Consider the following 12,972-nt stretch of genomic DNA (forward strand, 5'->3'; position numbering starts at 1 on the left):
AAGACCAGAACACTCTGTCAATGCAGTCTGAACCAGGATCCATTCCCAGGGGGAGCAGCCAAATTGCTCAGCCAGGTCGTCTTGCAGAGTGGCATCCTTCCTCTGCAGCTCATTCTAACTTAGCATGTGAATGAGCATTTAGAGATGAAGACAGAATCGAACTGAATCCCAAAGTCTGACTCACCTGCTTCTTTCCCCTCTCCTGGACAACACAGGGGAAAAAAAAGTACAACTCTTCCCCCACGTAGTACCAGCAGGGTAACCCGAGAACATCCGTTTAGCACGTCTGTCCCTGCAAAAAGGACCTTCCAGTGACACCAAGCTGAGCGTATCCTCACTCTATTTATAGGTGCTGTTTGTTTAATTTGAGTCCAGTCTCTAAGAATAAGTAATGAACTCATCTTGGGCACCAGCCAGAGCCTACAACTCTGAGACGACCCGTAAACCCCTTTCCCTTTCCTTCTGGTTCTGGAAGGGATTCTGTAGTTCAAAGGTGAGCCACTTTTGTCTGCTGGGCTAGGGTGGGCTTGAAACCCAGACGTGTTTGGAGATTTGGTTTTATGATGGTTTCTCAGTACGGTTTGGGGATTGTTTATTTATTTACTTTTTTTTTTGGTGTTTGGTTTTGGATTGGTGATTGCAGAACAGATCTGTAAACTCTTTGTCATCCACAAATGATTGACAAAGACTGAATATCTCCAGCCCTTCGTTGGTTGATCTTCGGATAAAAAGAGACCTCGTTGGGACTCAGATGTCCCCCAGTAAGGAGGCCATGGCCTTGGAGAAGCAAAATCCATTCCTTTTCAGTATCCTTCTGACTTGGTAGCAGAAACTGGGGTCAGGTTATCTTCTAAGGTCTGATACCATTCCTGAGATGCTGTTTTGTTTTGTTTTTTTCAGGCTATGTGATAAGGACCAGGAGCCATGACCCACTTAAACTTTAAACATCTAACCCCAGAACTGGTTGCACTTGAGTCCAAAGGAGCATTGTCTCTTGCAAACAAGTTCAGTTTGCACTTTAAGCTCCTCCCTTGCTGGTCTGATGGTTTAGTGACCTCAAGAACTGGCCCCATTGATTCTGAAGGGAGTGACCTAAATGCAGCCTTTGGGCTTGGTTCAGTATATTCGTATATTGAAGTGTATCAGTCCTTCCTGACACTACTATAAAGAACTACCTGAGACTGGGTAATTTTTAAAGAAAATAGGTTTAATTGGCTCATGGTTCCACAGGCTGTGCATGAAGCATGGCTGGGGAGGCCTCAGGAAACTTACAATCACAGCAGAAGGTGAAGGGGAAGCAGGCACATCATCCCTGGCTGGAGAAGGAGGAAGAGAGTGAAGGGGGAAGTGCCATGTACTTTTAACCAACTAGATCTAGTGAGAACTCATGAGAACAGCAAGGGGGATGACCGCTCCCATGATCCAATCACCTCCCTCCAGACCCCTCCCTCCATCATCAAGGATTACAATTCCACATGAGATTTGGGTGGGGACACACAGCCAAACCATATCATGTAGCTTCCCCTCATTCTCCCTTTCCATACATTTATCCTTAAGAAGTTAACCAGGCAGCCGGGCACGGTGGCTCATGCCTGTAATCCTATCACTTTGGGAGGCCAAGGTGGGCAGATCACCTGAGGTCCAGAGTCCGAGACCAGCCTGGCCAACATGGTGAAACCCCATCTCTACTAAAAATACAAAAATTAGCCAGGCATGGTAGTACACACTTGTAATTCTAGCTAGTCAGGAGGCTGAGGCATGAGAATCACTTGAACCCAGGAGGCGGAGGTTGCAGTGAGCCAAGATCGTGCCGTTGCACTCCAGCCTGGGTGACAGAGTGATACTCTGTCTCAACAACAACAACAACAACAAAGAAAAAAAAAAAGAAGGTAACCAGGCTTCTCTGAGAAGGCAAAGATCAGTGTCCATTCATTCATTTCTGTCAATATCTGTGGCCCCTCTACTCTATGCCAGATACTACTGTGGGCACAGGAGACACCTTGATGAAAGGGACAAGGTGGTGGTGAGGTGATACCTGACAGAGAAAACATTTAGCCTCCCTTCTTTCTTCCATTCATCCATTCTTCCATTCAAAAAGTATTTATGATGCATGGTCCATGTGTTAGGCACAGGACTGGGTGACAAAATACAGCAGTGAGCAAAAGAGATTGCGCCTTGCCCTTGAGTAGTTTGGAGTCCAATGGGGAAGATGGATATTAATGAAATAATCACCTACATAAAGATAGCATGACAAATGATGGAGAGCTCGTGAGACAAAGGTCAAGGGGCCATGTGAGAGTCTAAGAGAGGGATAGGCCTGGTTGGGTAGGCAGAGAATGGATGAAGACTAGGCATACTTGAGATGCCCCCAGTGGTGTGTTTTCTGTTGAGTACAGGGACAACCGACGGCTCTCTGTAGAAGGTGTGCTTTTGAGTTTCTATTAGCCGCGTGGGGCCATCCACACTCTCACCTGATTGTCTTGAGGACTGTCACAGGCTGATAGGTCTCAGGGAGAGTTCGGCCCACAAATGAGGGTTCCACCTGCGTGATCAGCACATTAGGGTTGTGACCTTGACTTTCGGGTTTGCAGTGGACAGCGTGACAGATAAAAAGACACTCTTCTCATTCTACCTCATTTGGGTAAAGGAGTAAACAAGAGCATCATCCCATGACATCATTTTCAGACGTTTGCCTGTATATGGTGGCTCTATCACCACACTCAGAGACCAGGATAGAAAGATGGCCCCACGTTCCCCTCTGCAGTTTCACGCAGACATGGGGGGCATCTCAAATGTTCACATGCAATGGCTTTGGAAAGAAAATTCTCAAAGAAGCAGTTAGCATCATGTAGTATCTTTCTGTACTAATGTGAGGGCAACTTTGAGCCAATCCCTTCAGCAGAGAGCTTTAGTTTATTGGGCAACTTTGAGCCAATCCCTTCAGCAGAGAGCTTTAGTTTATTTGAAAAAATACTATTGTATTTTGTCTCTTTTATGCCCAGTGTTTTGTAGGCACCAAGTAAAAGCCAAGAAAAATGTAAGAAATTGCCCTGCCCTGAAAAAGTTTACAAGGACATTCAGAAAAGAATTTTCAGCTAGGCGTGGCGGCTCATGCCTTTAATCTTAACACTTTGGGAGGCTGAAGCAAGAGGATTACTTGAGCCCAGGGGTTCAAACCAGCCTGGGTAACACAGTGAGACTCTATCTGTACCAAAAAAAAAAAAATAGCTGGGTATGGTGGCATGTGCCTATAGTCCCAGCTACTTGGAAGGCTGAGATAGGGGGATAGCTTGAGCCCAGGAGGCGGAGGTTGCAGTGAGTCATGTTTGCACCACTGCGCTCCAGCCTGTGTGACAGAGCAAGACCCTATCTCAAAAAAAAAAAAAAAAAAAAGAATTTTCATTCATTTATTCAACAAACATTTGAGTACCTACGTTGTGCTAGACACAGAACCAGGAACCAGGTGAGTAAGACAAGCATGATGCTTGCCTCATGGAGCTTACCGTCTAGAGAAAGGAGGGAGATACTCAAACCATCAACAAACACAATAATTTCAAGTGGTTTTACATGCTAGACTTGTCAGAGACCTCTCAGAGAGCGTGACATTTGAGTAGCAGCTGTGCAAAGATTTAAAGGAAGAGCATTCTAGACACAGGGAAACAGGAAGTAGAAGCCTCTGAGGCGTGCAGCAGGTTGGCTTAATAAATAACAAGAAATGAGTGTGGCTACAACTCAGCAAGGGGGTGAGTCGTAGGCAGGCCAGGTGTAGAGTGCGAATTTTATTTTGAATGCAGAGGAAGCCTTTGGCAGGTGAAAACATGACACTTCAACCTGAACTTATTGATCTACCTCGGGGTAGATCTGTGGCCTCAGTGAAATTTTGGGAGTAACAGACCTGGGATTCTTAGAACTTAGAGCCCCAGGTAAACCTACAGATGGAAAGAAAAGAAATTGGCCAGGCACAGTGGCTCATGCCTATAATCCCAACACTTTGGGAGGCAGGAGAATCTCTTGAGGTCAAGAGTTCAAGACCAGCATGGGCAACATAGCAAGACCCTCTACAAAAATTTTTAAAAATTAGCTGGGCATGAAGTTGCACACCTGTAGTTCCAGCTACTCAGGAGGCCGAGGCAGAAGGATCACTTGAACCCAGGAGTTTGAGGCTGCAGTGAGCTATGATCACACCATTGCATTCCAGCCTGGGCCACAGAATAAGACCCTGTCTCGAAGAAGAAGGGGAAAGAGAAGGTGAAGGAGGAAGAGGAAGAAGAGGAAGAGGGAAGAAGGAAGACAGAAGACAGGAGAAGAAGGAGGAGGAGGAACAAGGAGAAGGAAGAAAAATGATAATAAATTAATATTGGCCTGTTTCTTAAGCCTGGGAGGTTGAGGCTGCAGTGAGCCATGTTCATGCCACTGCACTCCAGCCTGAGTGACAGAGTGAGACTCTGTTTCAAAAAAAAAAAAAAAAAAAAAAAAAAAAAAAAAAAAAAAGGCCGGTCATGGGGGCTCACACCTATAGTCCTAGCACTTTGGGAGGCTGAGGCAGGCAGATTGCCTGAGCTCAGTTCAAGACCACCTTGGGCAACATGGTGAAACCCTGTCTCTACTAAAATACAAAAAATTAGCCAGGCGTGGTAGCATGTGCCTGTAGTCCCAGCTACTCGGGAGGTTGAGGCACGAGAATCACTTGAACACAGGAGGTGGAGGTTGCAGTGAGCTGAGATCTCGTCACTGTACTCTAGCCTGGGAGATAAGAGTAAGACTCTGTCTCCAAAAAAAAAAAAAAAAGAACAGTCACTTCTAACCTCAGAGGCTTTCCTGGGTAGGAGAGGATGAAACTGCAAAATGAATAAACCATATAACAGGTCGCTGCTTGTGGCTCAGCATATTTCTTTCCTTTTGGGGACAATGCCCTTCAGGAAGCCACTGCTTTCCTGTTCTTGGGAATAGGATTTGGCTCAAGCTAGTCAGAAATATTTTTCACTTCCTATCTCCACACCAAAGTGACTGGCTCTGGGATGGGCACAGAACCCAGTCAGAGCCAGTGAAACTCAAGAAGACATCGTCTAGAGCCTTCTGGCAAAAAAAAAAAAAAGAAAGAAAGAAAAAAAAAAGCTTTCTCTCTTTTGCATGGGAGCCATCAGTATAAAGATGCAAAGTTTAGAACCACTGCAGGCATTTGTGACCATGGGGAAGATTCTGGAACTGTTAGGGGCTGTGGGGGAGCATCGCATGGTGCCTGAGGATGAAGCCAACACCACAGAAGGTAGAGCGAGAGATGGAGAACGCTGTGTCCTTGTGAAGCCATTGAGCCCCAGGATCGAGCCTCGCCTGAAGCCAGGCCTATTGCTGGAGGTTTTAGTGGCCTCCACCAGTTAAATGCTCTTTATTATATAAGCCAATGTAAGTGGGGTTTCCTTGCTGCATAAAGAGCCTATATGATAGAAACATTGCAATAGGCACCCAACAACACTGAGGGCCTCCTCTGCACCTTCAGTTTCTAGGAGGAAGTAAGCCTGTTCCAGGACCCAAATAAATGGTCTCGCCTCCCCCTTCTCTATTTCAGTGTTTCCATGCCTCCTGTCACCATAGCACTGTGACTCTCATGGAAAGGCAGAGGAAGCAGAGGAGGAGAGGGTGCCTGTTTCCAGGCTGCGTTGCCACATTGGGGTGGGGGCTGGAGAGACAGAGAGAGAGAGAGGCGGCTCTAAGCCTGACATTTCAGGATAGAGATAACAGGGTAAAAATAAACTCCCAAGCGCCTGTAGCAGCACTCGCTTCTCTGGCTTCACAGTTATCTCTCTCTGCTTCGGGGACAGAAGGGTTCCTTTCGGGTCACCCCTTGGACTGCCCCTTCCCAGCCCCCGGCGGGGGAGGAGGACGCATAGGTCATTGATTTACATCTATCTGTCTACACCTGCTCTTTCACCGCTGGCAAGTCAAGGGATTGATCCCCTCCATCCCGTAGCCCCTCTTTTTATCCTGCAAATCACCTTTCACATCTGATGCTCCAGGAGCTCAGTGAGGTGAGTGAGTCAAGGGCCGGGGTCTCCCCATTTCCCAGTTGGGAAAAGCAGTGGGGCTTGGAAAGATGAAATGATTTTCCCCAAATCACACAGCTTTTTAGTGCTAATGTGTTCTGATCTAAAGCCAGGGCCTTTTCTGCCTTTCCATCTTCAATCAGGAGTAAAAGCAGTTTGATTCCCTCTCTGCAGGGCTTGTGGACAGCCATCCAGGCTGGGTACACACAGCTCCTGGGGGTGGCGTTCACATCACCTGGGACACAAGTATCATTGTGTGTCTCCTGACAACCACACCTCTCTGTCCCCTTTGTCCCCCTTCCCATCACACAGTGTCTGAGTTTTGTATTTGCCAGTGAGCCACCTACTTGCTTACTACAGAAGGGTGGCTGGGACGACACAGTGTCAAGGAACCCAACCCAGCTCTGCCACTGAGGTCCACAGAAGGTCTCTGAGCCTCAGTTTTCTAATCTTTAAAATGGTGATCAAAATAAACCAACGTAGGATTAAATAAACCATTGCATGCCAGGCCCTTGGCCTGTGCCTGATACATGATCATCTAAATGTTGGAGCTTCCTGTGACAATGACAGCTTTTCCTATGCTGGTGTATGGGTATAGCGACTACGTCCCTCACCCATGTCCGCAGTACCTGCCCTTTGAGTTCTTTCTCTCTCAGTGGCCAAGGATTTGCAATGAGCCATTTCATCAGTTAAGACGCTTGTGGTTGCAAGCAACCGAAACACTGATCCTCACTGGATTACATGAAAGGGGAATTTATTGGCTTGGTGGGTAGCTCCAAAGGCGGCCAAGGGTAGAGCCTAGCTTCGGGCACAGCTGGATCCAGGATGGAACCGATACCATCAGGATTGGGTTTCTCGGCTCCATTATCTGCTGTGAGCGCCCTCCTCATAGGGGATACAGGGGTTCTGGCATCTCCCCTTCTTGGGTTCAAAGCCAGTGGGAAAGATCCAGCCCCAGCATTCCCAGAAAAAGCCTCTTTGCATCTCACTACCCATCTAGAACCCATCACCGTACCCAAAGCAACGAAGACAAGCGCGGATGGCCCGAGGTGGGTCCAGTCTGCTCAAACCCAGATCTGAGAGTAGTGAACAATGATCGCCCAGAGCAAAATCAGGTTTGGCCGCCAGAAGCAAAGGTGACTTCAGCAGCCACCCACTCTCCTCAGCCTCGTGTCCCACGGTGAACACTGATGAACTGGCTTCTGTCATCCCAGGGAAGAGACGGGCTTCAAGCAGGCTGCAAAACCAGGCCGGCGGGCTCCGACAACAACTCTCATCCAAAGTTCCCTCGTTGCCATCTGCTGACCAGCTGGACCCACTGACCTCAGACCAGAACCTTCCCCAAGCTTGATCTGCAGCCTGCCACCTGGGGAACCCACTTCGCTGAATAGGAGCTGGAAATCTGGGCTCTTTTTCAGGCCTCTGCCATGAGGCACTGTATCCTTGTTCCAACTCAATTATTACTGATTCATTATTTGTCTTTCCTCTAAAAAGAACCAGCCATAACAAAAAGCCCCTCTCATGGTCTGTAGAAAATAAATACAACCAAAAGCAATACTATGATTAAAAGATAGCTGGTTGCTCTCGCTCGCTGTAAGCCTGAAGACTGGTGCTGTCATGGTTGCTAAAAGGCAAGATTAGGCCAGGCATGGTGGCTCATACCTGTAATCCCAGTACTTTGGGAGGCTGAGATGGGTGGATCACCTGAGGTCAGGAGTTCAAGACCAGCCTGGCCAACATGGTGAAACCCTGTCTCTACTAAAAATACCAAAATTAATTGGCCAAAGTTGGGGGTGCCTGTAATCCCAGCTACTTGGGAGGCTGAGGCAGGAGAATCGCTTGAATCCAGGAGGCGGAGGTTGCAGTGAGCCGAGATGATGCCACTGCACTCCAGCCTGGGTGACAGAGCAAGACTCCGTCCGGGAAAAAAAAAAAAGGCAAGGTTAGCAAGTGTCCGGGAGGTGTTAATGACCTAGGCTAGCACCAACTTGAGACTCGATGAAATTAAAACAACTGAAAACAAATTAGAAAGAGAATAACTTCTACTAGGTGATTCTGCTGCGTTGAATGCTGGAGGGGTACATTTCATGTAAGTTGCCTGCATCATCGACAATTCTCTCACGTACTGGTGAGTCTGCCACTCTAAATGTGTAAATACCGTTTATACTGGTCAACCAGCAACCACAAAGACACTCTTGAAGCTTCCTCTCTCTCCCCTCCTCCCCAAGCCTGCAGGAGAGATGGAAAAGAAGCGGGTAAGAGAACACGAAAGATTTCTTTAAAAATAATTATGGTAATTACGTATGCATTTCCAGGGGGAGATTCTGGGAATTATTCCTAAAAGGCTGGAAAGAATTTCCTCTTTTGATCTCGATTCTGAGCCAGAGAAAATCAAATTAAGAAAGAAAAGCAACAGAGAATTCTCGGTGGGGAGGAAGGAATGGGGTTGGGGCTGTTCGTGAGGTTCTGGGAGAAAGATGGAGAACAGGACTCCGACACCTTTCTCTCTAGATGTTGGTAGACTTAGGAGGAAGAAGTGAGAGAGAGAAAAGATGAGACAGGTGAGGTTGTGTCCTTACATCTTTCTTGCAAGGCTTCACTCCCTCCCCTTGAGGGGCCACAAAGATGGTCCCCCTTGAGCTATTGAGGACGTAGTTTTTTGTAGCTTTTCCCACATCACACGTGGCTGGCCAGGCATCCTCCACAATGGCCCTCCCTTGCAGAGGAGCCCTGTGAATTCCAGCCAACACTCCGAGAGCCGCCACAACAAGATGAGCAAGTGTAGGCGTGTGACGAGTTTTTTGTTTCTTTCTTTTTAATCCTCCCTTTCAGGCACAGGGAGAAATGGTCCTGTCACTTCTCTAAATTTTCTTCCGCGGTTGCTAAGCAGCACGCCTCTGCCCCTTCCACTTCCCTCTGCTCCTGCTTTCTTGTCTCTCTCCACCCTCCACCCCCGCACGCTCACAGTGCTCTTCCCTGCCGTGGTTTGGAAATCAGAGAACAGCCCCCAGGCAGTTTGCTGCTCCCAGAGCCACAGCAGTGCAATGGCAGTTCCCGACAGAGGCGTCTCCCAGCCTGCTCTGCAGAGCATGCACGTAGGTCCTGGCAGGGAAGACCACTGCTTGAGCCCCTCTGCATTCACCAGCAGAGCTGGGGCCGGCCGGCCTGCCTGCCTGCCTGCCTCCCTCCCTCCCTCCCTCCCTCCCTCCCTTCCTTCCTTCCTTCCTCTACACTTCTTTCCTTCTTCCTTCCCTCCCTGCCATGCTACAATAGCCTTTGCCTGGAGACTAGAGGGGGGAAACTCAAAAGTATGCAGGCACCAAACACTGCATTTCATGAGGGAATGAGGCTGGATGTGAGACGATAGGGAATGGTGAGGACTGTTCCCTAAGTACCTGCCTAAGGAGGCCTTGCACTAGCTCCAGCCAACTGGTGTTTCAAGGGAACCTGGGCAACTTCCAGATTTTTAAAAATCTCAATGCAGGACAAGCAAAAACCCATCTGTGGGCCTCCAGTCTGTGGAGGAGAGCCAAGCAGGGTCCATAATGCGGGTTTGTGAGACAGTTGCATTTGAGGGTTCGTTGGGTGGTTTTGGCAGCAGAATGGAGGACTGGTGGGAGGCAGGCAGGGACTGTGGACAGCAAGCCATGAGCCCCAGGAGCTCCTTGGAGAAGCCAGAAGGCTTGGTGGCAGCCCCGGACCTTGATTTCTGTAGGACCTTCATCCAGTGGATGGGAGAATGGCTAGCTGGACCGCAGACAAGTAACCGGGGTGGAGGGAATGGACTGTCACTTTTCCCTTGGTTCCCAAAGCCGCCCATCCTGTTCCATGATGCCAGGCCCTAGGCCAGAAGGACCACAGGTTAATCAGGGTCAGGCACTGAACAGATGGGGCCTCAAGGGATCCCAGAGGTCCACGGGTGAAGCTAGAATGATGTATCGCTTTTCAGCTAAGTTGCAACCGCAGGGAGTCACGGTGGGGTTACTGTGGGTCGGGTGGAAGTGGCGTAAAGAAGGCCTGTGCTCTGACCTCCTTTGGGGACATTCAGGGGCACCATGATCAGGCTCTCCCCCACTGGCCAGGATGGCCAGGACACAGCCCACGGGGCCCCATGGGGCTCTGTCTCCCTGCTCCCTTTCCCATTGGCCACAAAGACTTTGGATGACATTGAGACCTGAGCCAGACACAGGGACTGCAACCTTCCCAAAACAAACCAGCCAAGTCCCAGAGGGAGTGAAGGAATGGCCGAGTGCTGAGCTCTGTGCTGCAACTGACATTTGGAAGAGGAAGCTTCAGGGCCCAAAGCTCAGAGAATGCACTTCCTGGGTTCTGTTCAGTCACTGGAATTACCTCCATGACAGCTTTCTCCAGAAGCTCCTCTGGGCAGTCAGCATTTCCATCTACCCTGGTCAGCATAGAACCAGCTCCCATCTGTCCACCTGGATCTCAGTCTCAGTTTCTGAGGCCCGGTTCTCCCCCAGGGGCTGGGCTGCAATCAGCAGGGACTAAATCTCACTGCCAAGGGCCTGGGCCAAGGCATCCAACTCTCTGTGCTCCAGGAAGGGCTGAAGGAGCCTGCATGACTGGAGGTGGGAAGGCTACATCCAGATCCTCACACACCATCATCCCATTCCTTGGCCCCTGGGGGCTGGCACTGCCCTGTGAGCCTCCAGGAACTGATGAACAACAGCTGAGAACACAAAAACGATCCATGGAGAATGACAGAGCCAGCTTATTTCTACATTTCTTTGTTTTTTAAAGTAATGAAGGGAGCTCTCTTCAGAAGCCTTTGGTTCCCTTGGCTTTTCAAAGTAGTAAGGAAGGGAGGAAGGAAGTTGAGGCTCTTAAAGTCAGTTCTACTCAGGGAGTACTGATTGATGGCCGATCACACACCGTGCAAAGGAATGTAGGGTCCAGTACAACCTGCATCACCCAGAAAGATTCAGCAGAGAGTGAGAGCCTCGTCCTCAGCAGGCAGGGGAAGCCAGGCACCTTGCAAGGGCTTCTGCATTCCATCATCACTAGTTTCAAGGAGCAGGTGGTATGATTCCCATTTAGCAGATGGGAAAGTAAAGCCCAGAGGTATTTAGTAATTGTTGAGAGGCCATGCTGGTAATGAGGGCAGAGCGGGGACTCAAACCAGGGCTGTCTGGATGGTTGCAAAGGCCGTACTATTTTCTGCAGAACACCAACTATGGGAAAGCATGTTCCGGAGATGGTCCCAGAGATTGCTGGATTCAATACAGGAAATGTTTTATTGAGTGTGGGGAACCTGAAAGGGACCAGCTTTTCCAGTCCAGGGCCCCCTTAGGCCAGTCCCCCAATTCATCCATCAAATACACATGTCCAGTTTCTGCAGCATTGGAAAATGCCTGGGAAATTATTTCACAAAGAATTTCAAGCAAACAGAAAAGGTATGTGGGATAATATCATGTTCCACTGCCAAGCTTAAGAATGAATGTTACGGCTGGGTGTGGTGGCTCATGCCTGTAATCCCAGCACTTTGAGAGGCTGAGGCGGGTGGGTCACTTGAGATCAGGAGTTGGAGACCATCCTGGCCAACATGGTGAAACCGCATCTCTGCTAAAAATACAAAAATTAGCCGGGTGTGGTGGCTCACACCTGTAATCCCAGCACTTTAGGAGGCTGAAGCGGGTGGATCACCTGAGATCAAGAGTTCGAGACCAGCCTGACCAACATGATGAAAACTTGTCTCTACTAAATACAGAAAAATTAGCTGGGCGTGGTGGCGCATGCCTATAATCCCAGCTACTTGGGAGGCTGAGGCAGGAGAACCACTTGAAGCCGGGAGGCGGAGGTTGCAGCGAGCCGAGATTGTGTCATTGCACTCCAGCCTGGGCAACAAGAGCAAAACTCGTCTCAAAAGAAAAAAAAAAATACAAAAATTAGCTGGTTGTGGTAGCACGCGCCTGTAATCATGGCTACTCCGGAGGCTGAGGCATAAGAATCGCTTGACCAGAGGCAGAGGTTGCAGTGAGCTGAGATCACGCCACTGCACTCCAGCCTGGGCAGCAGAGTGAGACTCTGTCTCAAAAAAAAAAAAAGAAACGTTAGAATTATAGTTGAAGCAGCCTGTGTCTCTCTCATGCACTAACCATTTGTGCCCTTATAATCCACATGCATGTCTTTCTGCGTTCGCTGCCCTTGTATGTGTTCTAAACAATAGTATTGTTTGCATGTTTCAATATTTTCATATAAATGATATGTTGTATGTATCCATATGCAACTTTTTTTTTTTTAAAGAGCTTTATTAGCTGGGTGTGGTGGCTCATGCCTGTAATTCCAGCAATTTGGAAGGCCAAGGCAAGAGGATTACTTGAGCCAAGGAGTTCAAGACCAGCCTGGGCAACATAGCAAGACCTCATCTCTACAAAAAATAAACAAAATTAGCTGGGTATGGTGGCAAATGCCTATAGTCTCAGCTACTTGGGAGGCTGAGGTGGGGGGATTGCTTGAGCTCAAGAGTTCAAGGCTGCAGTGAGCTATGATCGCACCACTGCACTCCGGCCTGGGCAACAGAGTGAGACCCTGTCTATTAAAATAAAGAAACAAAGAAAAGAAAACCAGCTTTATTGAGATGTAATTCGTACACCGTACAAGTCACCAATTTAAAATGTACAAGTCAATGGCTTTCAGTAAATTCAGAGTTGTACTGCCATCACTACAATCAATTTCAGAACACTTTCGTTACCCCAAAAAGAAACACGGCCACCTTCTCAGCCATCACCCACCAGTCTCCCCATCCTCTCTTGGCAACTCCTAATTTCCTTTCTGTCTCTATAGAAAGGAAGTGTTCCTATTCTAGACGTTCCATATATGGAATTCCACAGATGGAATGCCATTTATAATGGAATCATGGACCTTTGAATCTGACTTCCTTCACTTAACATCATGCTTTTAAGTTCCCCCA

At 48.5% G+C, this 12,972-nt stretch overlaps 1 protein-coding gene across 1 annotated transcript in view; it reads left to right on the forward strand.

Annotated features, from left to right (window-relative positions):
* Window positions 1-354: 354 nt before the first annotated feature.
* Window positions 355-12,972, forward strand: part of MRTFB (myocardin related transcription factor B) — a 272,006-nt gene continuing 259,388 nt past the window's right edge. The window contains exon 1 of the mRNA XM_047434393.1: window positions 355-493. The gene's annotated coding sequence lies outside the window, so the exon portion shown is untranslated. The remainder of the gene's footprint in view (window positions 494-12,972) is intronic.

The sequence above is a fragment of the Homo sapiens genome, chromosome 16 (assembly GCF_000001405.40).
Source record: "Homo sapiens chromosome 16, GRCh38.p14 Primary Assembly".
In the NCBI taxonomy this organism is placed as follows: domain Eukaryota; kingdom Metazoa; phylum Chordata; class Mammalia; order Primates; family Hominidae; genus Homo; species Homo sapiens.